The following is a 25,285-nucleotide window of genomic DNA, read 5'->3' as shown; positions in this document are numbered from 1 at the left end:
TATCACGCCACCAGCTGCATACTCATTGGCTTCACTCTGCTGATGTGAAATGCAAATGGAAAATCTCCAAAGATTTCAAGGCTTCTCTCTTCTCCCACTCCTACCAATTCTTTGAGATACTTGAGAAAAACAGACATTCACAATTCTATTTCAACAGTGTCCTCTCCCATTCAGAGGCATTCACCCCTCCATCCTTGTTGCTAAAGCTAATGCTGCCTAGAAACAGACTTATCAAAATGCAGTTGAGATTTTTAATAGTAAGACCTAAAGCCCAATGGCTAAAAGAAGAAATTTAATGCATTTCCACTCTTTTTTTTTTTTTTTTTTTTGAGATGGAGTCTCACTCTGTCGCCCAGGCTGCAGTGCCATGGCATGATCTCGGCTCATTGCAACCTCCGTCTCCTGTGTTCAAGCAATTCTCCTGCCTCAGCCTCCCAAGTAGCTGGGATTATAGGTGCCCATCACCACGCCCGGCTAATTTTTATATTTTTAGTAGAGACGGGGTTTCACCATGTTGGCCAGGCTGGTCTCGAATTCCTGACCTCAGGTGATTGGCCCACCTCGGCCTCCCAAAGTGCTGGGATTACAGGCATGAGATATCGCGCCAGGCCACATTTCCACACTTAAAAAATAAAAATAATCCCTTTTCTGCCCCCAGATCCCCAAAATATACTCACTACCCCTGCCACCTCATTCTAAATGACCAACGGCATACCAACGCATGATACAGACTAAATTCTAACTCTCTCCTTCCCATGTGCTGGAATCTCAGCACAGCCTCAGGGAAGAGGAGGAGGTGTGACTGTGCACAGCTGATGTGTCAAGACGTTACATCAATGTCTTCTTTATTCTTGACACCAACCCTGCAATGCTGATGACACTGAGTGCAGAGGCATCAAAACTGGACAACTAGCCCAGGTCCACTGGGGGCTGGTGTATTCAGTTGACCCTGAACCATAATGCCTTCAGTGGCCAGCGTGAAACTTCTTCAGGAGTGCCAACCAACCCCAAAATGTCCAGGCCCACGGGTATCTGCACTTCAGCATGCAGTGTCAACAGATGTTTACCCAGCTCAGCACTGCACAGGAGTAGGAGATTTGGAAACATGGTTTCTTCCTATAGCACTAACCTTGATGGGAGAGAAAATTCACCTATTTAGAATGTCAGAGAGGTAAGAACATCTGACATGGCTCCCTCATTTCATTCATTTCATTGCCAAAAAAAAAAAGGCCAAGAGAGGAAAGGAAGAAAAAAAAATGTCCTATCTTCCGTGCCTCAAGCACCATTCATATGCTCCCTTCATTTCATCTTCACAACAGTCATGTTATAAAGGCATTCTTAGGTCCAATTTACACACACACACTTTTTTAAGTGACTCAGAGCTTTAATATACTGTCCAAGTTCTGACACATTAAGTGGCAAGGTACCAGCATCTGAACCCAGACTTGTCCACCTCCCAAGCCCAAGCCCTTTGTATTCTAAGCCCAGCTACTGCTGAAAACTCTAGTAGTAACATAGAATAGCACATAATTAAGGGGTAATGCTGTGATCTAGACCAGCGATTCCCAAATTAGTCTGATTCATTAGAATCATCTCAGTCGCTTTATAAAAATACAGTTTCCCCCACACTCCCACCCCCATTCAGGTTTCTGATTGTGTAAGTCTGAGAGGAGGCCTGAAATCTGTATTTTCACATACTTTCAATGATTCTGATCATCAGTATGCCTTGCTATTTACAGAAGGATTAAAAACAACAGGGCTGGATCAGCCATGAAAAGGTATTTGGAGCTTGCATTTAATCAATAGCATTTAAAAGGAGAAACACTGAAAAAGTAGCAATGTCCAGGGAGTGTTCATGATAGTGATATCAATGGGCCAGGGCTGGGAGATGTGGTGGAAAGTGATCAAGGGGGTAACCAGAAAGGAAGGCTATTATGGGGCCGCTTATAAATCCAGCAGAGGCATACAGACTATATGCCATGATAACAAGGACACGGAGGTGTCTAGACCATGGGCAACATGATCAAAGTGGTGGAGGACAAACCAAACTGCATGCAAGTGTCTGGGCCAGGAATGGCAACTACAAGGCTACTGACATAGAAGCACAAGCTGGCATGCCCCCAAGGAAGAAAAAAAGAGGGAAAGCTCTTCATTTGAAATTTTCTGTCCCATCAAGATTAGTGCTGCAGGAAGAGACCAATGGCCAGGCATAGTGGCTCACGTCTATAATCCCAGCACTTTGGGTGGCCGAGGCGGTGGATCAGCTGAGGTCAGGAGTTGGAGACCAGCCTGGCCAACACGTTGAAACCCCATCCCTACTAAAAATACAAAATTTAGCCAGGTGCAGTGGCATGTGCCTGTAGTCCCAGCTACTCGGGAGGCTGAGGCAGGAGAATCGCTTGAACCTGGGAGGTGGTGGTTGCAGTGAGGTGGCTGCAGTGAGGTGGTGGTTGCAGAGTGCCATTGTACTCCAGCCTGGGTGACAGAGTGAGACTCCATCTCAAGAGGAAAAAAAAAAAAGATTAGCGCTGCAGGAAGGGACCACATTTCCAAACCCCGACTTCTTTGCAGTGCTGAGCTCAGGTCAGGAGCTGGGTAAACACCTGTTGGTGCTGCATCTTTAAGTGCAGGTTCCCATGGGCCAGGGCATTCTGGGGCCGGTTGGCACTCCTGAGGAAGTTCCACGCTGGCCACTGAAGGCATGAAAAAATGAACGGAAAGATCACTAGAATGCAAGCTCCAAGAAGGCAGGGGGATATCTGCCTGGTTTGCTCACTGCTTTACCTCAAGCACCTAGTAGGTATGAAATAAATATCTGCAGAATGAATGCACAGCTGGACTTAGAGGCAGACTGGACGTGGAAACCAACAAAGATGAATGAGTCCAGGGCTTCTTCAAGATTTAAATCCAAATGATTAGAATGAAAATGATAGTACTGTCACAGTTGACTAAAAAAGTTAAATAAGAGTAGATTGGTTTTAGCAAAGATTCTTCTTCATTACTTCTGGCTTTTCTCTAAGACTTTATTTTGGCCTCTAGTCCACGAAAAGAATTCAGTGGTTTGGAGATTCTGCAATGCACCCTTCTGCCTTGGGAAGAAGAAAAGGATGGGCAAAATCTTTTAGTTTGATTTTTGGCAATGGAAGAAGGACAATCTAGTGAGAATCTAAACCCAGATGGCATTCCTCACAGGACAACTGGATCCCCACCAGCAGGTATGCCAACAGCACAGTGGCTTGACTGGACTTGCTATAAACCTTAATGACAGGGCTGGTGGGGCTCTGTGTGACTGGGTCAGCTTCAGGGGCCTTGCCAACCTAAGGAGACTCCAAGCCACCTCTAGCTGGCCAGTCAGGTCTCTGGGGGCTTTTGGAGACTTGAAAACTAGTTCCACCCAGGGAACAAACCAGTTCACCTTTTGAAATCCTTTCCAAACTAATGATTATCCAAGGCGCCATTTAAGTGATCATATTACACAGGGTAGGCTACCCCTCGAAGGGTGGTTACCATCAAAACTAGACATATCAGGTCCTAAAAGCAGAAGCTGAAGGGCATGCTCAAATTGCTTCTCAGACATCCATTTTCTGCAAGCCTGATCTTTCAAGATCTTTCCTTCTTAAATGACATCCTCCTTCTGCTAATACCCAACTAAGAGAGAAAGAGCCCTTGTTTTTATAAAATTCCCTAGCAAAAGCAATTTGTTTCACTCATAAAACAGCCAAACTATATTTTCTAAAGAACTGCAAAGTTACATGATTTCGATTTTAGTTACCCTTCTAATGCAAACTTTCCAGAGCCTGCCTTTCATAATACACCGAGAGATAATGCATGGGCCCAAATGACTTGACAGTTTCTTTTAATTTACAGACATCTAAGAATGTTTATAAAATTCCTCTAGTTCAAAACACTTCCTTTTCTTAAACATATTTCCAGTTCAAATTATGTGTTTATAGCAGTCTGCAATATATTATTTCTAAAGATAAACAGTCATGTACAAAATGGACAGAAAACCAGCAGCATATCACTACTGCCACACTCAGTCAGATTTTCCCCTTGCCTGGTGCTCCGCAGCCAAAGTCCTAACCTGCCAGTGGAAAGTATGAATGGATCACTAGGAACAGGCTTTCCCAGCTGCCTCCAGGATCCATAAAGGAACAGCTACCAGTTCCTTTTCATAGGCAGTTTTGAGCCTTAGTTCCTGAGAACCTCTTTTTTACCCCCAGAGCTAAGTATAAAACTTAAGAATTCACTAACTGTAGGCAGTTTTCCTTTCTTCCTTTAAAGGGAGACTTTAAACCCAAATCACTACTTCTAAATCCCAGGAAACAGTTGCAGTTTTCAAATTAAAATGCAAAGTCCTGGAAATAATATTCTGTAATTGCTAATTTTTTTTTAAATTCAGTCTTTTGACTTCATTTATATTTTTGCTGCTATACATGAAACAAACGGAGACTGAAAAGTAATTTAAATGGACTGTTAGCCATTCTGGGCCTTGAAACAGCTTCTATTTAGAAAGACTGACTCACTGCCTAACAAAGATTCTCTGCTAGTCTCTAAGTTGACATTTTATAAATATCTAATCACCCTTTTTGGATGATTTTCCAATTACTGAAAACAGTGTCTATCACAATGAAGCAGTTCACTCGGAAAGCATCCAGTTCTGGTTCAAATTGAGAAATATTAGAACCCCAAAGATACACAGTTCAGGGGAAAGCTGTCACCGGGGAGGACAGGTATATAGTTCGGCCAAAAAACTTCCTTAAGGAGCACTGGTAGATTTATGCAAAAACCCAGAGGAGCAGAAGACAGAAACATTCTTTCTCCAGAATCCCAAAACAGTAACATTTCCTAGCAAATCCATGAATAAGACTCAGCAAAAAAAAAGGGCCTCCTTAACCATGTGCAGTTTTTTAGGCAGGCTCTTGAAATTTATTAGATGAAGTCCCTTTGCCCTGTTTTGCAACAAGAGGAGCAACAACGCTCATCTGAAATAAACAAGAGAACTGCTGCCTTTTGGTGTACAAAGAGCCAAAGTTCATCCTAACTGGCTGGGAGATAACTAATACCAACGGATTAAACCATCATTTGCCAAAGGGAAACACTGATAAGGCTGGGAGTTCTATTTTACAACCTGAGCACCCAAAATACTCATGTAGTCTGTACAGTTTCCAATTCTACATGCTCTCCAACCACAAAGAACGTATGGGGATCTGCTAGCACACACAGAGGCTCCCACACTGATTAAAAATGTCCATCTGCCGCTCGATGCCAAAGAGGTTTCCCAGTCCTAAATTAGCCTCAGCACAAAAAAGGGGGGGAGGGAGACTCAAACTCATAAAACTACCTAAAAGACCTTAAGATGATATAATTTGTCTTTGAAAAGACCATTCAATTAATTAGAAATTGACACGTTATTAAATGGCAAAGGGAGAGGACGTGGGGAACCAGAAGGGCCAGAAACAGCCGCACTCCCTGAGACCCCAGAGGGCACTGAGGCTGCAGACGAAATCTGGGGTGCTCAAGCTTCCACCTGGCCCGACAGAGCTCCTGGCGCCCAGGTGGAGGCAGCTGCGGACGAGAGGAGGCCAAGGAGGCAGTTCCCTTTAGAGGGCGCTCATTGGGCGACGTGGGGAAACAAGCTCCAGCCCCCGAAGCGCGACCAAAAGGAGAAATCAAGTTCCCACCGCCAGGGCGGGGGAGGGAAGCTGGGTGCCGGCAGGCGCTCCGCCGGAGACGAGACTCCTCCCGGCCCCAGAAGCGCCCCGCCAGGGCCAGAGAGGGCGAGCGTGGCGGGAGGGAAGCCTCTGTCCCCCAGCGGCCAGGCGACCCGAAGCCGAGCGCCGTGTCACACGTACCCCGCCTCGCCCTGCTTGCGGCACTCCCGTGTAACTCCTATGAAAATGTCCTCCCGTCCCTGACGCCCCGCGGTGCAACCTCCACCCCTCAACGAGGAGGGGGTCGCCGCAGGACTGGGAATCCAGTGGCCGGCGTCCCAGCATTTTCGGACGCGTTCCGTGCCTCCCCCAGTATCCCCTTGAGGGATCGCCTACTGCGATTCCACGTAGTGTCGGTTACCTCGCCCTAGCCGCAGGGAGCATCAAACAAAAGAACTTTTGCAAACTTTTCTCTCTGGACACTCGCGGGTCTCTTAAATCTGGCCCCCATCTCCCCAGAACTTGCATGCAGTCAAACAGGAAAGCTGGCGCGGGGGGGATGGTGTGCGGAGGAAGGGACCCCGAAGTTTCCAGGTCATCCCTGGTCTCGAGGAGCGCGCGGAGTGGAGCCGTTCCCTCGCGGGCCCGACCCAGGCTCCCCCCTCCTGCCACCCTTTCCCCTCCGTCCTTCCCAGACCACGCAGCAAGACCCGCCGAGGGCGAAGAAGTTGGGAGTGACTTCAGGGGCCTCTGCGGCTAGACCAAACCGCAATTCTCGGTGCCCCCATTCCCGCGGACCGCGGGGTAACGCCAGCGAGCAGCGCTTTTCTGAGGAAGGGAAGAGGGGGAAAGGGTGACCGGACGAGCGCATTTGTCCCAGCGGATCTCCGGTGTATACTTGGGGACTGGGGGTTCCCCAGGTGGCGCTCCCCTATTCCCTGCGGGCTCCTCTCGTAGCTTCAAACACCCTAAACGGCGCGCGCATCCTCCGCCTGGCCCACTCACCGACTCCGCCGACACGCAGGCCACCAAGCCCAAGGTGAGCAGGATCCACGCGCGCCGCATATTCCCCAGGGACCGGCTGCTCCCAGCCGCTGCTTGCAACCAGGGCAAAACGAAGCCTCCTGCCCAGCGCTCGGCGCAGCCCGCGCACACGAATCCGGAGCAGAGTACCGCAGCGATTGCGGCTCAGGCTCGGGGACTCGGGCTCGGGGCTCGGGGGCGCTCGCTTCCTCCTCCTGCGCCTGCTCCCGCCGCCCGCAGCTGCGCCCCGGGAACGCGGCGCCCTCTCACTTGTTGGTTTCTGCACTCCCGACACGGAGTTGGTGCTCCGGGAAGGCTGCTCTCTGAAGCTCTTCTTGCTCTGCTGTGGTTTTGCTCCTCCGCGGACTCCTTTCCCGTGCCGAGGTTCAGTTTCTGGTTTTAAGGAATAAATTCGCTGGCTTGAAAGGGAGCTACGGCAGAAGTTTAGGGGCAGAGCGGCGGGAGCGCGCGATCCGCGCGGCTGGAGCTCCGGGGGTATCTGGAGAGCAGCGCGTCCAAGCGGGGCCACTGGCTCCGCGGCTGCGCCCCTCCTCCTCCCGCGCCGCGCCTCCCTCCCCGGGTCCTCCTCCTTCTCCTCCTCTTCTTTTCCTCTGGCTCCCTCCCTCCTGAGCCTGCTTCTCCGGGCTCCCCTGGGCGACTGGGGAGAGGAGGCGGCAGTGTGACTCCCAGATAAACCCGGGAGAAATTCCTACAGGATTACACGCCGATTGGCAGCTCCGAGGACCAGTGGGCGCCGCGGCTCCGCGCTGTGGCTGCGCCGGCTCTGCTCACCGGCAAGCCAGGGCTCCTGCGTTTTCTCAGTCCTTTTCTTCCTTTCTCTCCCCACTTTTCCTCTCTCCTCTATGCTCTTTTCTTCCCCGTTGTCTTTTCTCTTTCCCTTCTTCACTTTCCCTTTTCTAGAGAACAATTAGTGAAGAAACGAGAGACGTATGTAGCTTTTCTGCCTTGAGAATTCGACCAGTAGAAAGAAACTGCTTTGTGAGTTGAGGGAAAAAAAAAGTGTAAGATGCTTTCAAGCAATGTGAAGTGTTCATAAATCGCCAGTTCATGAAAATTGCATTTTAAAAGAGAAGATAATTAATGTAATAAATATATAGTGAGAGTGTTTCCCATTCTCCCAAATCCTTCCGCACCCCCAAAAAAGGGACATGGAGGAAGGATCCTGTAAACCCAAAGTGCAACAGTTTGAAAGCTCCTAACTTCATTAAGGGCTTAAATACCATTTCTCCCTCACACACAGTTTATGCCACTAAGGCTTTTTATAGGCTCCATTTTAGCAGATAGGTGTTAACGTTTGGAAGCTACAAATAGGGTAATTTGATGAGAAGTTGGATAGAGACCCTGAATAATAACAGATTTAAGATAACTTCAAAGAAAAGAGGGATAAAGTAATTCTTAGTTTGAAGAAAATAATGAACATGTATTTCCTAAATGGAAGTAGCTGACATGAAATATTTTGTTACAATGTCTGTGGCATATTATAGAACATGGCAAATGCGTATTCCCTTCCAGTTTCTTTTTCTTACTGTCACAAATTTTACACACAAATCCCTTGCAGTTCGTGCCATCATTTTTCTCTCTGACTTATAGAGTAAATGAATTATGACGCCATTCTGCTCCTGGAATGCCCACTACAGGAAACCAGAGACTTTTCTGTCTGTTCACCATTGTATTCTCATTCCTGGTACATAAAGACACATGATAAATATTATCTTGAATAAATTTTGCTCTAAAGCTCAATTTATACCGTATAAGAGTTGTGAGCCTTTAAAATACACCAATGTAGATATATAGATATGAGGCCATGGTAATTTTTCAACTCAGTATTAGAATAAAATACAGTCATACCCTCAGTGAGAATTAAATGTCTTAGTAACCTATTACTGTAATAAATCTCAAAGAAAGAAATTTAACTGGAGAATTACAACTCAAACTTGGAGACACTTATTCCTTTGGTTTTGTGTGCCAGCTACCAAACCTACAAATGCTCATGAGCAAGTCTAAGGCATTGGCCAACAAAAAGGTAATATGGAGAAATAGAAGAGTAGGCAAAGGAGAAAGAAGAAAAAGAGCAATAGGCCAGAAGTTGTAACATCAGATGATGCTTCTGATTCCACAGACACTGTAGCTGGCATCTGTGCCAATGTGGGCTCCACTTAGCTTTTGAAAGAATGAACCACAGCCTTTTTTTTTTTTTTTTTTTTTTTTGAGACAGGGTCTCATTCTTGCCCAGGCTGGAGTGCAGTGGCCTGCACTGTAGCCTCTACCTCTCAGGCTCAAGCAGTCCTCCCACCTCAGCTTACCAAGTAGCTGGGACTACAGGCACAGGCCACCACACCAGCTAATTTTTGTGTTTTTTATAGAGACAGGGTTTTCCATTGTTGCCCAGGCTGGTCTCAAACTCTTGGGCTCAAGTGATCTGCCTGCCTCAGCCTCCCAAAGTCCTGGGATTAGACACGTGAGCCACCAGCCTAGTGCCCTTATTTTTAAGATGGAGTCTGTGGGTTGAAGAGGTTCATGAGATGGGGAGACTTCTTAAAAAGGCCTCCAAAGGAAAAGCAGCAATGCAAAATACATGCAAAGAGCCATAAAATACCAGCTCTGTCCTCATAAGAGGCCTCGTCTACTCGCCAGCCTTCAGGCAAGGCCACACCTCCATTGTCCCCAACAGTTAAGTATTCATCAAATAAATTGGAATTCCAGTAAAACAGGAAGTGCACTCCACTGATTTGCTGGTTCTCACAGTTATTGCTGTTTACTGGGGCACCCATGTAACAAGAAGCGTGGTGAATGCTCTCTGATTCAGCTTGGGCAGACAGTGATAAAAAATGAATAAGTGGATACACGTGTTGAAGGGATATTATCTGTTTGCTGCCCTGAAGGCACACCCCAAGGCTCTTGGTGTTGATGAGATGCTCAGTGACTTGTTTCTTTAAAGATGATAAATACTCCATTGAGAGTATATATAATAAGGGAATTGGTACCATTTTGAGTGACACAATATTAAGGAGATGAAAACAAATATTCAAGATCTTGTGTTCAGATTTATTAACAGCTGTGGCAAGAAGGATAATCTGACAGTATAAAAAGCACTTACACAAGAGCTGGCTACAAAGAGGTCACCCATGCTGAGTGGGGATGGGGACAGAAGTCAGGGGAGGTCCGCTGGTATTAGTCAGGATTTGTCTAAATTCGCAAACGATGTAGGCCTGTTTGTGTGTTTTGCTAATTGGAAATGTTTAAAAAACTGATGGGGACTAAAATTTGGCAGAATTTTGTGTAGTATATCTAATTCACTAAGTATAGCTTGTGACTAGAACCAAAGGTTCTTTGCAAATATACTTCAAGTCCTCAGGTTTTGAGGGCTATGCTTTGAGGGGCACAGCTTAACCAATCACTTCCCAAATAGCTTCATTGATTGCTAAAAGAATAATTACCACACTTCAAGAGTCTCAGGAGAAAATATTAAAAATAAACAACATAGAGATTAAGATGCAAACATGTAAAAACAAATAAAAAATAAAGAGAACCAGACAAGTGAAAAAATAGAAATGAAAGCTACTAAAGACAGTTTTTAACCTAAACTGACACATCGGACTCTGTCACTACGGTAACAAATGATACCACATTACAACCGTGGATAAACAGGTGTTCTGTCCTGAGGTGAGTTGTCAGAGTAGGGGATAGCGGAAAAAAAAGATGCCATTCTGTTGTTCTCGGTTGTTCTTCCACTTGGCACCCCCTGGACTGTTACCAGGAGTCCAGGCTAGAAATCAATTTGGTAGGATTGGCTCTTATGAAATTCACTTGAAAGATGATAGAAGCTGAGAGGAATAGGATATCCATCCAGCCAACCATTAATGAGCCATCGCTAATACTGGCAAGTGAGCTGAGGCCATGACCAAAATCTACAGGCAATCCAAAAAAATCTATTTTCAGGCCTGGCGCGGTGGCTCACACCTGTAATCCTAGCACTTTGGGAGGCCGAGGCAGGCAGATTGCCTGAGCTCAGAAGTTCAAGACCAGCCTGGGCAACACGGTGAAACCCCGTCTTTACTAAGAACAACACAACAAAAATTAGCCAGGTGTGATGGCGGGCACCTGTAGTCGCAGCTACTTGGGAGGCTGAGGCAGGAGAATTGCTTGAACCCGGGAGGTAGAAGTTGCAGTGAGCCGAGATCATGCCACCGTACTCCAGCCTGGGCAACAGAGCGAGACTCTGTCTCCAAAAAAAAAAAAAAAAAGTCTATTTTCAGCCTCAAACTTTCCACTGTTCTCTTTATTCACCTCCATCAACCCCTTCCCAGAGAAGTTGGCTGATTTGAGTTTCATAAAATGATATGGTGCTAATGTTGAACAAAATTGTTACAGTTTTGGATAGGAGGACACAGGAAAATCAAGGAAGTGTATAATACATAAAATAAGACAGGAGATAAAACAGTTACTTCTGTTTTTCTTTTTCTTTTTTTTCTTTTTTTCTTTTTTTAGAGACGAGGGCTCACTATATTGCCCAGGCTGGCATCGAACTCCTAGACTCAAGTGATCCTCCCCCTTGGCCTCCGAAGGGTCTGAGATTACAGGTGTGAGCCATCACACTTGGCCCTTCATGTCAGTTTTTCTAACAGTGTGGTATGGTTCTTTAAAGGCTGGCAAAATTTGACATTCAGTCAACAAATATGTATGGATCACCTGCTGCAACTCAGGTACTCACTGGGTAGGCACATGAATTTTCTTGAACCTTGTTAGAGTTAATACATTTTTAAACTAAGAGTTGTTCTCAAGTCATGAATCTGTGACTAAAGTACATGATGAATTTCATTCTAAAATCAGATAAAGTTTAAAGAAAACATTATTTATGGACTAAAATACATATCCAAAGAGCCATATTTGAATGTTATAGATTTGGATGTATGAATCCAGGAAGGTACCACAGAGGTATCTTCAAGTTATTTTGCATTGCATTTGTATATATCCAGTTGAACAGGAAAGTCTAACCTTGATTAATTTTATGTAAAATGGTACTATTTTTTAAATTGACAAATAAAAATTGTATATATTTATGGTGTACAGCATGCTCTTTAAAAATATGTAGCCAGGTGCAGCAGTGGCACACACACCTGTAGTCCCAGCTACTCGGGTGGCTGAGGTAAGAGGGTCACTTGAGCCTAGGAGTTCAAGGTTACAGTGAGCTATGATCGAACCACTGCACTCCAGCCAGGGTGACAGAGCAAGACCCTGTCTATTAAATAATTAATTAATTAATAATGTGTACATTGGGGAATGATTAAATCAATCTGATTAACATATGCATTGCCTCACAAACAAATTTTTTGTGGTAAGAGCACTTAAAATCTTTTTTCTCAGCAGTTTTTGAGGATACAATATATTGTTAGCTATAGTCACTATGATATACAACAGATCTCTTGAACTTACCATGAATTCAACTTTTTAAGATTACACATAAGTGGAATCGTGGTATTTGCCATTCTATACCTGGCTTAGCATAATGTCCTCCAGGTTCACCTATGTCATCACAAATGACAGAATTTCTTTTTTTTTTTCTTTTTTTGAGACAGGGTCTGGCTATGTTGCCCAGGCTGAACTCCAACTTCTGGGCTCAAGCAATCCTTCCACGTAGCTGGAAGAGCCCCGCTGCCTTCTTTTATAAGGCTAAATGGTATTCCATTGTGTATATGCACCACACATTTTCTTCATCTGTTGGTGGACAGTCCTACTCTTTTTTTTCTTTTTCTTTTTCTTTTTAGAAAGGGGGTCTTACTCTGTGGCCCAGGCTGGAGTGCAGTAGTACGATCATAACTCACTGCAGCCTCAAACTCCTGGATACAAGTGATCCTCCCTCCTCAGCCTCCCAAGTAGCTGGGACTACAGGTACTTGCCACCGTGACCAGCTGGGACTACTCTTATTACTACTCTCTGCAGGTGATTACTTTAATGGTAACTAGCTCTAACCTCATTGACTGTTCTTAGAAATCCATCCTCTCCAAGGCCCTGGAAAGGGGCCTACATGTTACATATCATCATTTAGATGATTCCACACCTCCTTGATCACAATTATGTAGACCAGGGCTGGAAGCAGGGGGAGGCAATTTATTAGTGGGCCAGTGGCCAATCAGATTCACCTTTCAGATTATTTGAGCCAAGGAACTCAGAGTCTAACTAAATTGTACATTGTTGACCTGGGAGTAATCCAGAATTGCTAAGGGGTCCTTGTGTGGTGAGAGAGAAAAGGTTGATGTAAAATGGAAAGAATGAAGCAGATGAACAGAGAGAAGCAACAACAGAGGATATATGGCTCCAGAATAATGTAGTTTTCCGGATTTTGGTTTTTTTTTTTTTTCCAGTCCCTTTTCTAGCCTGTTTTGAAACCCAAATAAACTTTCTTCCTTTAGGTTATACAAGATACTATGGTATCCTTAAGGTAAATTCCTCATTTTTCTTTAGCTAAAGAGCTAAATTTACTAGTAATTAATTTATTACTACTTCTTGGTAAACAAATGAAGCCAGCCCAAGACAGAGATGAAAATGAAGCAAAGAGCTTTGACTACCTTAGCTTCACTCTGGATAGAATGGAAATCTTGCCATTTAGTGTTTTATGAGCCATGTATAGTTAAGAACAGTTTTAGTGAAGATAAACTACTACTAACATTATTTAGATTTTCAGGAGAAAACACAAACTTTTAAAGAAAAATTTTACTTATGAATTACCTTGGGGGAAGTGTTTTCCATGTAGAATTTGGTATCTTTAAAACTCTAAAAGCAGAGTAGAATACGTAGATTCTTTGCTGAATTAAATAGTATTAGCACTGGGAACACCTACAAGTTAATGCCAGGAATTGCCTCACTGAACACTTTTCTAAAAGATCTAGAGGTCAAGGCACACAAATGTCCAGGTGTGAAAATGTTACTAAATTCTTTCAGCTAGTGAAATGAGAAACAGGTAGGATAGCCACGCCTGGCTGAGTTGTTAAGTAACCCAATACATTAAGGATACCTAACAGAGGCTCTTACACCGGCTGTTAGGGTAGGCTGTGCCCTGTAGTGGTTAAAACCTCAGCCTTTGGAAATATACAGACTGGGGTTTGAATCCCAGTTCCACTCTTACAGTGTTCTTAAAGGCCTTGACACCTGAGCAGGCCACTAAATTTAAACCCGTTTCTTCATCTGTAGTTTGGAGATAATTGGGTTAATGTGTGGAGCCTATGAGTTAATAATACGCATAAAGTATTTAGCAAGCTACCTTGCACCTAGTGAACTTTCAATAAATGCCAGTTGTCTCAATAAATGCCAGTTGTGGTTATTAGTGTTTCCTCTCAATAAATGCCAGTTGTTACAAATGCCATTTGTGACTAGTATTTTCTCTGCCTGGAATAACTCATCTGTTCTCTCAACTCTCTTTGCCTGCCTAACTCCTGCTTGCCCTTTAAGGGTCAGTTTAGAAGTGTCCTCATTAGCAAATATCTGAATGCCTACTGTGTGTTGCACACCTCCTCCAGGAAGCCTTCGCTGATCCACCAGATTAGATAACAGACTTTTATGATAATTAATTCTAACTTAGCATGGAATATTGGAGTTGCTATAAAATTTGCTCTTAGAAACATGTTCTGTTGTGGCTAAAAGTATAAACATAAAACTGAATACCACTCAGAAAGACCTAGGAAACAAGAACACACACCATTCTATCTTTTTAAGTGCCATAACAAGTTTAAATCCAACTAAGAACCCAGGAAAATAGTATAAAATTCCAAACTTGCAAGTTCTGAAATAGCAGTAAATAGTTTTGAATTGTTAAAATGAAAATCAAATGCTCCTAGGAGTTCAGATAGAAATAAGAAAAATGCTTCAGGGAAAGAAAAAAGTACAATTTATCATGAAATGGGAACTCAAAATGTCTACTTTTTGCTCTTGTTCTTGTAGCTGTTAGTAATACAAATGACAAAGGCTGAGGGTTTCTCTGCAGGTTTCATTCCAGTGTCGCACCACCAAAGCTAGTGTCTCCTCCTATCCCCCAACCCCTACTCACCACAGGCACACCCCAACACCCCAAGGTGACCCATGTGAATAGCCTGGTATGAATTGTCCTCTCTTTCTCTATTTGTATAATCCTATAGGGATACACTCACAAATCCATGACACACACATGAGTTTTTTTGTTGTTTGTTTTGTTTTGTTTTGAGACAGAGTTTCATTCGTTGGCCAGACTGGAGTGCAATGATGCGATCTCGGCTCACTGCAACCTCTGCCTCCTGGGTTCAAGCAATTCTCCCACCTCAGCCTCCTGAGTATCTAGGATTACAGGCGCACACCACCACACCCAGCTAATTTTTGTATTTTTAGTAGAGACGGGGGTTCTGCTATGTTGGCCAGGCTGATCTTGAACTCCTGACCTCAGGTGATCAGCCCGCCTCAGCCTCCCAAAGTACTGGGATTACAGGCATGAGCCACCGAGCCCAGCCCCACGCATGAGTTTTTAATGCTTGTTTGTTTTGTTCTTAGTTGTTTTTAAAAATGGAATCCTATTAAACACACTTTCATCTTGTCGAAATCCCTCCAAGTCACCTGATGGAACCTTCATTCATGTATATAATGTGAGTCTCTTACCCCTCGGTACTGGTATTTCATACTTGATCTAGCCATTTCCCTGTAATAAGCATCTCTTTTGTTTCCAGTCGAGTATTTTCCCCTACTGCAAATAATATGACAGGAAATACCTTTTACATATTTCCTTAGTTACTAGTGACTTTCTTTCTGTGGGCTAGATTCCCTAGAGTGGGATTGTTGGATTGGAAGGTATAAATGTTTGTAGTTTTATGGGATGTTGCTTGACAGTTTTACAGCAACAACAAGTTCTCACACTCCCACCAGTGATGTTGAGGGTATCTTTTTTTTTTTTCCTTTTTCCACATCCCAGCCAGCAATAGGTGTTAGCTTTCTTCTCAGCCAGTTTGATAAGTATGAAGTGACAGCTCATTGCTCTTGTTATGTGCAATTTCCTGACTACTAGTGCTTTAGAGCATCTTTTCATGTGTTCGTTGTATTTGGAGTTGGTCTTCTGTGAACTGTCTGTTCATATCTTTTCCCCACCTTTCTACATGGTAATATGCTTTTTTTGGAAGAGCTCTGATATGATTGCTATTAACATTACTATGTTATTAATCCATCTTGCATATATTCTTCTTTTTTTTTTTTTGAGATGGAGTCTCACTCTGTTGCCCAGGCTGGAGTACAGTGGCGCGATCTGGGCTCACTGCAACCTCCGCCTCCCGGGTTCACGCCATTCTTCTACCTCAGCCTCCTGAGTAGCTGGGACTACAGGCGCCCGCCACCACGCCGGGCTAATATTTTGTATTTTTAGTAGAGACGGGTTTTCACTGTGTTAGCCAGGATGGTCTCAATCTCCTGACCTCCTGATCCGCCTGCCTCGGCCTCCCAAAGTGCTGGGATTATGGGCGTAAGCCACCGTGCCCAGCCGCATATATTCTTATATATACTGTAACCACTTTCAATTATCTATTCTACCCACTGATCTGTTTGTCTATTCCCATGTCATAGCATATTCATTTGATTACCACAACTTTATAGAACCCTCTGATATTCCCAAAGTCAATCTCCCTGCTCTCCCTTACCAGACACTGGTGGTTGTTTTTCCCATGCTTTTCTTGAATATTTTTGGGCATTTTCTTCATCCACATAAATTCTAAAGATATTTTAGACAATTAAAATAAACCATTTTAGGATTCCATTTGGAATTGAACTAAATTTATTCATTGGTTTTGGTACAAGTAACATTTTTATGATATTAAGTCATCTCAAACCAGAAAATGTTTTACTCAACTTTGTTCAGATCTTTTTTAAATGTCTGCTCATAAGATTTTATAGTTTTCCTATAGATCCTGTGAACCTCTTGTTATATATATTCCCATTATTTACTTACATTGTGTCACTATTATAAATAGAATTTCCCCTATTTTCATTTAAGAACTTACTGCTAGAGCAGAGAAAAACTGTCTATCTTTAATATTTATTTTGTATACTACCATCTTACCAATAATTTTTAAGTGAAGCCAGTACATATTTTACTAGAATCTCATGGATTTCTAGGTAGGCAATTAGGTCATCAGCAAAAAATGTGGTTTTAATATCTTTTTTAATGTCTATGCCAGTTGTTTAGTAACTAGTTTTAACAACTCGTTCCTGGTTTTAATGGAAATGGTTTAGTGTATTGTGTGTTATAATTTGGAATGACACTTGTGGTTTGTTTGTGAATTGTCTTTAGTAGATCAAAAAGTTTCATTACTTATCTTGAGTTTTTGTTAGAGATGGTTGTTTAGTTTTATTCAAGCTCTTTCAGAATCTACTGATATAATCCTATGGATTTTATCCTTTAGTCTGTTAATGTAATAGATTGTGCTGATGGTCACTGAGAGTGATTTTCAGAAAGCAAATCACTCCCACATTCCTTGAAAAAAATGTGCTTGATCTTAGCGCACCAGTTTTTGAGAACTTGCTGATGTCTTCCTTTATTTTGTTTAGAAGTTTTGCATCTTATTTGAAAGTGATATAGGTCTATAATTTTTTATCCTGTGTTCTACTAGATCAGGCTGTGGCATTAAGGTCTTGCTGGCTATGTCAAATGAGTTGGAGACTTTTCTATATTTCCTCTCTATCCTGGACTAATTTGCATAGCATTGAAATGATCAGTTCTTTAGAAATTAGGTAGCACCCAGTCCAAATGCCCATTTGGTTTTGGTGCCTATTTAAGCAGTAGCTCTCTTACTACCCTTTCTTCTGTCATAATTGGTCTATTCAGATTTACGATTTCTTCTTGGGTCCATTTTAGTCATTTGTATTTTGCTTGAAAACCATTATTATCCTCCAGGTTTTAAAACCTGTTGTCAGATTTGCCTTTAGAGAGATAAATATTTCCTTATTGTTAAAAATTTCTCTTGCATTTTTTTTCTCGTTTTTTTACCTTGTCTCTTTGGCTTTCTCTTCTTTCTTATCAGGCTCCTGAGGGATTTATTTCTATTATTAATCTTTTTCAAAAGACACTTTTACATAAACTTTCCTTACTCTTTTTGTGTTTGTTTGTTGTTTTATCTTTGTTGTCATTCCTTTTCCTGTTTTAAAAATTGATCTCTTTATAATTTCTTAATTGAAATTCTAAGTTCTTTTATTTTTAATTTCTTTAATGATAAAACAGCATTTGAGGCTATGCATTTTCTGTGGATAATTTGTCCTTTCTGCTTAGGAGCTTATAAGATTTTCCAGTTGTCCCTAGAATTTAGGGGGTTTACTATGCTATGCCTGTGTACTTGTGATTTCTCTTCAATGGATCATTTAGTTTACTGATTCAAGTCTTTCTCCTCAAGTGAAAGGTTTCATTTGTTTAGTTGTTTTGTTTTGTTTGAGACTGAGTCTCGCATGGCACCCCCCCGGCTGGAGTGCAATGGTGCGATCTCGGCTCACCGCAACCTCCGCCTCCCGGGTTCACGCGATTCTCCTGCCTCAGCCTCCCGAGTAGCTGGGACTACTGGCGCACACCACCATACTGGGCTAATTTTTTTCTATTTTTAGTAGAGATGGGGTTTCACTATGTTGGCCAGACTGGTCTTGAACTCCTGACCTCGTGATTCACCCGCCTTGGCCTCCCAAAGTGCTGGGATTACACGCATGAGCCAACGTGCCTGGCCTTGTTTAGTTTTTTAAAAATTGTTTTCTCTCTTTCAATATATTGTTTTCTCTTTCTGAAACTTCTATTATTTGTCTTTTAAATGTCCTGAATAGATAGCCTCCAAATCCCTTACATTTTCTGTCATGATTTCCAACTTCTCACATTTGTTTGATTGTGTCCATGAATTTCCAAACCACTAATTCAGATCAGTGACCATTCTCTCCTTTAATTTCCCTGTGAAATTTCTAATGAGAACTCGTGTTTTTATTATTAATGAGTTATTATTATTATTATTTGCAGATGCACTTGGGCTCTTTAAGTGCTTGGTTTTGTTGGTTTGTTTTGTTTCCAGCTTATGTTTTCGTCTGTCTCCTGTAGCAGTTGTATTTCCTTGGGCGTGTGCTTGTTCTCTTGGTTTTTTCCTCTCTCTGGCTGCTGGGTGCCATCATATGCAGTGTCATGTTTCTTTGTCGGCTGGTTCTGTCTCAGACCTGGTTGGTGGAGAATCTTCACAATGGGGACCCACAGGTGGTGGAAGACAAAGGGCTTCTCAGGTGTCCCTACACCCATGGGGCAGTCTGCTGCCAGTTCTCTTGCTTCCCTGCCAGGTTACCTACAGGAAGCTTCTCTCTTCCTTGGTCCTCAGTCTCAAGGGCAGAGAAGAATTGCCCCCTTTTGGCTTTGCAGAGGTGGCCAGGAAGGCTTAGCATACCCACGTAGAGCAGGCAGTGTCTCCTACCTCACAGACGCTGCATGGCCCATTTCTCTTCTGGATCCTCTTGGGGAAAATCAACAGTATACATGAGGGCAAATGGGGATGTGCTCAGGACTACCGCTACTGTGAACTCCCCAAGTTATATTTTCTTTTTTGTTTGTTTGTTTGTTTCAGAGATGGAGTCTGGCTCTGTTGCCAGGCTGCAGTGCAGTGGTGCGACCTCTGCTCACTGCAACCTCCACCTCCCAGGTTCAAGTGATTCTTCTGCCTCAGCCTCCCAAGTAGCTGGGACCACAGGCACCTGTCACCACGCCCAGCTAATTTGCTGTATTTTTAGTAGAGACAGGGTTTCACCATGTTGGCCAGGATGGTCTCCATCTGTTGACCTAGTGATCTCCCAGCCCCTGCCTCCCAAAGCTGAGATTACAGGCGTGAGCCACCGCACCCGGCCACCAAGTTATATTTTCTAAAAGGAAATAAACTAACAAAATTATAACAGGGTAAATGGAAAAGGATATGGAGTCAAACAGATCCGGGTTAGAAGCCGATTTAGTGAGAACAGAGGAAGTTTAAATAACAAGAGTACTTTGCTGCTGGGTGTGGTGGCTCACACATGTAATCTAGGTACTTTTCAAGCTGGACAAGCTGTTTTACACCTGTAATCTCAGCACTTTGGGAGGCTAAGGTGAGAGGATCACTTAAGCCTAGAAATTGAAGACCATCCTGGGAAACATAGTGAAACCCCATCTGTAAAAATAAAAATTAAAAAAATAATTGCCTGGGCATCATGGCGTGTGTCTGTAGTCCCATCTGCTCTGGAAGCTGAGGTGGGAGGATTGCTTGAGCCCAGGAGGTAGAGGCTGCAGTGAGCAGTGATTGTGCCACTGCACTCCAGTTTGGGCAACAGAGTGAGACCCTGTCTTAAAAAAAAAAAAAAAAAAAAAAAGGAACATTTTGCAAGGTGAGTATTTCAGGGAAAAAGCTTCTTGCAGACCAAGGAATGTTTGCATTTATAGACTAGAAACTATAGCTGAAGGAGTTGTCCAAATTGACTCAGCTAGTGAATTTTAGAGCCAGGATTCCCAGCCCAATGTATTTGGAGCTTTTAAAAGTCTTCTGAAATCTTTTCCATAAATTCTTCTTGGCCAGGAATTGGAAGCATTAGCTACCTGTTAGCTTTTTAAAGGCTCAAGCAAAATTTATAAATATCTCACCAAGAATGTTTTCAGTTTTGTTTTTTAATGTGATTTTTAGTTTTCCCCATTTGTAGATTTTTAAAATCTTTTTAGTATCAAGTACTAAATGACTTGTACCGCCATCAGAGAATGTAATTTGGATATTTCTATCTGTCATTGGTATGTGCTTTGAGCAAAAGGGGACCTTAAGAGAAGCAATGGTGCGTGCCTGTAATCCCTAGCTACTGGAGAGGCTGAGGCACGAGAATCGCTTGAACCTGGGAGGCAGAGGTTGCAATGAGCCGAGATCATGCCACTGCACTCCAGCCTGGGCGACAGAGTGAGACTCTGTCAAAAAAAAAAAGAGAGAGAAGCAAAAGAAAGTCTTTGCTAAGTGATCTTTCTTCTTAGGGATATCTATAGTGGATGCTCACCTGGAATACCAGATGCAGCTGGGGTTAATGTGCTTCAGAAAGAGGCATGAAGGAAGTTTGAAGGTCCTACAGAAAAGCAGCAAAGAAGCCCACAGTGTTCACTCTTGATATTGTACATTCTACCCCAACACACAGCATTCTATGGGTTTGGACAAATTTGTAACAACATGTGTCTGCCATTATAATATCATACAGAATAGTCTCACTGCCCTAAAAATCCTCTGTGCTCTGTCTATTCATCCCTCCTTCCCCCAACCCCTGGCAGCCACTGATCTTTTTACTGCCTACAAACTTCGGCTTTCCCAGAATGTCATACAGTTGAAATCATATAGTATGCAGCCTTTTAAGATGAGCTTTTTTCACTTAGTAATAGGCATTTAGGTTTCTTTCATGTCTTTTCATGACTTGATAGCTCATTTCTTTTTAGTGCTAAGTGATAATTCCATTGTCTGGATGTACCACTGTTTATTCATTCACCTACTGAAGGGCATCTTCATTGCTTCCAAGTTTGGGCGATTGTGAATAAAGCTGCTATCAGCGTCTAGGTGTGGGTTTTGTGTGGACATAAGTTTTCAACTCCTTTGGATAAATATCAAGGAATGGAATTCCTGGATCACATGGTAAGAGTATATTTAGTTTTGCAAGAAACAGTCCAATTGTCTTCCACAGTGGCTGTACAATTTTGCATTCCCACTAGCAATAAATGAGAGTTCCTGTTGCTCTGTATCCTCACTAGCATTTGGTGTTGTGAATGTTTTAGAGTTTGGCCATTCTAATAGGTGCATAGTGGTATCTAACTGTTATTTTTATTTGCATTTCCCTGATGATGAATGACAAGGAATACCTTTTATATGCTATGTATCTAAAAGAAAAAGAAAAGGAACCATTATGAGACCAGTGTAACCCTAAGAACAAAACCTACCAAAGATATTACGAAGAAAGAAAACTGCAAACCAGTCTCACTTATGAACATCAATACAAAAATCTTAGCAAAAGATTACAAAATCAAATCCAGCAATATATTAAAAGAATAAGGAATGCAAGGATGGCCTTATAGTTAAAAATGATCTATACATTTTACCATATTACAAAAAAGGGGGAAATATTTTATTAATAGATGCAGCAAAAATATTTGATAAAAATTATGACTTTATCATAAAACTCTCAGCACATGAACAATAGGAAGTAACTTTCTCAGTCTAATGAGCATCTGCTTCAGTTATTTATTACTACAAAACAAACCACCCCAACATGCAGCAGCTTTAACAAGCAATTTTTTTCTTTTGAGACAGTCTTGCTGTGTTGCTCAGGGTGGAGTGCAGTGGTGTGATCTCAGCTCACTGCCTGGGTTGTGTGATCTCAGCTCACTGCCTGGGTTCAAGTGATTCTCGTGTCTCAGCCTCCCCAGTAGCTGGGACTACAGGAGCCCACCACCACGCCCAGATAATTTTTGTATTTTTAGTAGAGGCGGAGTTTCACCATGTTGGCCAGGTTGGTTTGGAACTCCTGACCTCAAGTGATCCGCCCACCTCGGCCTCCCAAAGTGTTGGGATTATAGGAGTGAGCCACTGCACCAGGCCCCAATTTTTTGAATATATATATTTTTAAATTTTCATTTTAGGTTTAGGGGTATATGTGAAGGTTTGTTACACAGATAAACATGTGTCACGGTGGTGGGTTGTACATATTATTACATCACCCAGGTATTTAGCTCAGTACCCAGTAGTTATCTTTTTTGCTCTCCCTTCTCCCACCCTCCACTGTCAAATAGACCCCAGTGTCTTTTGTTTCCTTTTTTGGGTTAATATGTTCTTATCATATACCTTCTACTTATAAGTGAGAAATGCAGTATTTGGTTTTCTGTTCCTGAGTTAGTTTGCCAAGGATGATAGCCTCCAGTTCCATCCATGTTCCCGCGAAAGAGATGATCTCGTTCTTTTTTATGGATGCATAATATTCCATGGTGTATATGTATTGTACCACATTTTCTTTATCCAGTCTGTCATTGATGGGCATTTGGAACAACCATTCTTTTTTTTTTTTCACTCACAAGTCTGCAATTTGAGTAAGGCTCAGGGAGTACAGGTCAGCTTGTTTCATGCAATGTCGGCTGGGGCAGTTTGACCCGAGGCTGGGGGCTCTGTTTTCGAGCTGACTCAGTCACATGGTTCACAAGTTGGTACTGGCTGTCAGACAGGAACTCGGCTGAGCTGTGAGCTAGGAACCTTGGTTCCTTTCCACGTGGAACCCTGATCTGGCTTCTTGGGCTTCCTCACAGCATGGCAGTGGGGTTCTGAGAATGAGTATCTCAAAAGTTCCAGGGAGAAGAGCATGGCATCTTTCATGACCAACCCTTAGAGGTCACATGCTTCCCTTCCATCATACTCTATTGATTGAGACAGTCACAAATGCCTGCTCATGTTCAACAGGAGGGAAAATAAACTCCACCTCCTACTGGTATCATGGCAAGGTTCTAGAAAAACATGTAGGATAAAAAATATTGTTGAGTCCATCTTTGGAAACTATCTGCCATAATAACTTTGAAAGACCTTAAGCTAACACCAATGTTAATTATGAAATATTGAGCACTTTCCTTCTAAAATTGGTGCTATACACTGAATGTTTATGCCCCTCCAAAATCCGTATGTTAAAGTCTAATCCTCAATGTAGTGGTATTTGGAGGTAAGTGTTAGTGAGGATGTGAAGAAATTGGAACTTCATACACTGCTGTTGGGAATATTGCAGATGTTGGCTAAATGCTTACAGTGGATTAACTGCCCTGTGAATACTGACAGTCTATCTTTACAGTGGATTAACTGCCCTGTGAATACTGACAGTCTATCTTCCTAGGAAAAAATAAATATATGTCACAAAATAGCCCTTGACAACATAATATTTGGATTAACCATTGGCATGAACCCATATGATGTTTCCTGTTTTTCTGTTGTTTCCTGATTAACCTCCTTCCATCATAGAATCTGCCCTCCCCTTTTAATATACAATTGCCTCTGCTCAGAAGTATTTGAAGACAAAAAACTAGCTGCTAATAAAGATCTGAATTATGTTGGCAGACATTCATGGAAAAGAGACCTAAGAATTCAGTTAAACTAAAACAGTGGGGGTTTTGTAAATATTAGCCCCAATACTGTGCCTTTAAACGAAACTGAACTAAACCGACTCATTCTCACATTTTAGGGTACTTTAATCTTTTTCCTTGGGATAGCCCAAGACTATTTACAACCAGAATTCCACTGGTTCCTGTCCTATTGGCTTTGTCCTCCTTTTCTTTTGGCTCCATTCACCCTTTGGATTTGGTGGCTGAACTCGGATTTTCACGTTTGGACTGTGCAGGACACTCGAAAACGTGGATCCTACTCAACTCTTGCTGCACTTACTCAGACTGCTTCAGGTAAAATACCTACCTACCTTTGGAGTCTGAGTCTGGTGCCAGATTGGGTCCCATTCCAATTGCCCAGTGGGTGGAGGGTTGGGAGGAGGTGGATTAGCCACTACAGTTCAAAAGATAACAGTCTTCTTGTCTCTACAAGTCTTAGTAAATGGCCTCTTCAAGTCCCAATAGCTCCTTGCTTACCAATGGCATTCAAAGCCCATTTTGATTTCTAGTGGTAATGTAAATTTTAGAGCCTGGAGGAAGCAAGATAAAATCCAAGTAGCCCCCACAGGCAAAAAATGAAAAACTCAAAGAACTATGCATGTCAGTTGCTGCTATTAGGGTGAAATATGCACTGATGAATTGTTGGGTACAGCGATAAAAGCCCAGGAAGTCATTTTGCTAGGCTCACCATTGATATTTGAGAATAACATTTAAGCATTTTCTCTTTCTCCAACTGTAAAATTTAAGCATTGCCTTTGTCTAACTGTAAGCCAAAAAGGAAAAACAGACAAAGTGGGAGGGAGGGGTAAGAAGATTTCAGGTGGCAAAGACTCTTTGAATTGAAACTTGTAAAATACTTTATAATCCTTGAATTATTGTAAGAGAGCAAATAAACCAATTGTGAAGTCACTACTTTTATTGTGATTTACCTTTTGGGATATAGGAGAATCTCACACATACAAAATTGGGTTAAGTGTAATCGATCCTTGGTTCACAAACGCTATTATCTTTGGTCCACATAAGCTATCTTTTATTTTTCACTTATTTATTTTCTAATTTGTTTTTGCTTAATTATTAATGAAAACCTATGAACCTGCCATTCAATCTAAGATCTACAATTATCCCAAAACTGAAAACTTTGCCAGGTATGGTGGTGCATACCTGTAGTCCCAGCTACTTGGGAGGCTGAAGCAGGAGGATCACTTGAGCCCAGGAGGTCAAGGCTGCAATGAGTTGTGATCATGCCACTGAACTCCAGCCTGGGTGACAGAATGAAGCCTCATCTCTAAAAATAAAAAACTTGGCTGGGTGTGGTGGCTCACGCCTATAATCCCAGCACTTTGGGAGGCCAAGGCGGGTGGATCACGAGGTCAAGAGATCGAGACCATCCTGGCCAACATGGTGAAACCCTGTCTCTACTAAAAATACAAAAAATTAGCCAGGCATGGTGGCAGGC

The 25,285-nt window shown here is 42.7% G+C and overlaps 1 protein-coding gene across 1 annotated transcript in view; it reads right to left on the bottom strand.

The window, feature by feature from the left end:
- The window catches only part of SDC2 (syndecan 2), a 117,978-nt gene extending 110,800 nt beyond the window's left edge, over positions 1-7,178 (bottom strand). Inside the window, exon 1 of the mRNA NM_002998.4 lies at positions 6,660-7,178. Within this exon, the coding sequence (NP_002989.2) occupies positions 6,660-6,719 (60 nt within the window). The 5' untranslated portion in view covers positions 6,720-7,178. The remainder of the gene's footprint in view (positions 1-6,659) is intronic.
- Between the last annotated feature and the right edge of the window lie 18,107 nt (positions 7,179-25,285).

Source organism: Homo sapiens, chromosome 8 (genome assembly GCF_000001405.40).
Source record: "Homo sapiens chromosome 8, GRCh38.p14 Primary Assembly".
NCBI classification, from domain to species: domain Eukaryota; kingdom Metazoa; phylum Chordata; class Mammalia; order Primates; family Hominidae; genus Homo; species Homo sapiens.
The sequence above is the reverse complement of the archived record's forward strand: the minus strand, read 5'-3'. Positions and strand labels throughout refer to the sequence as shown.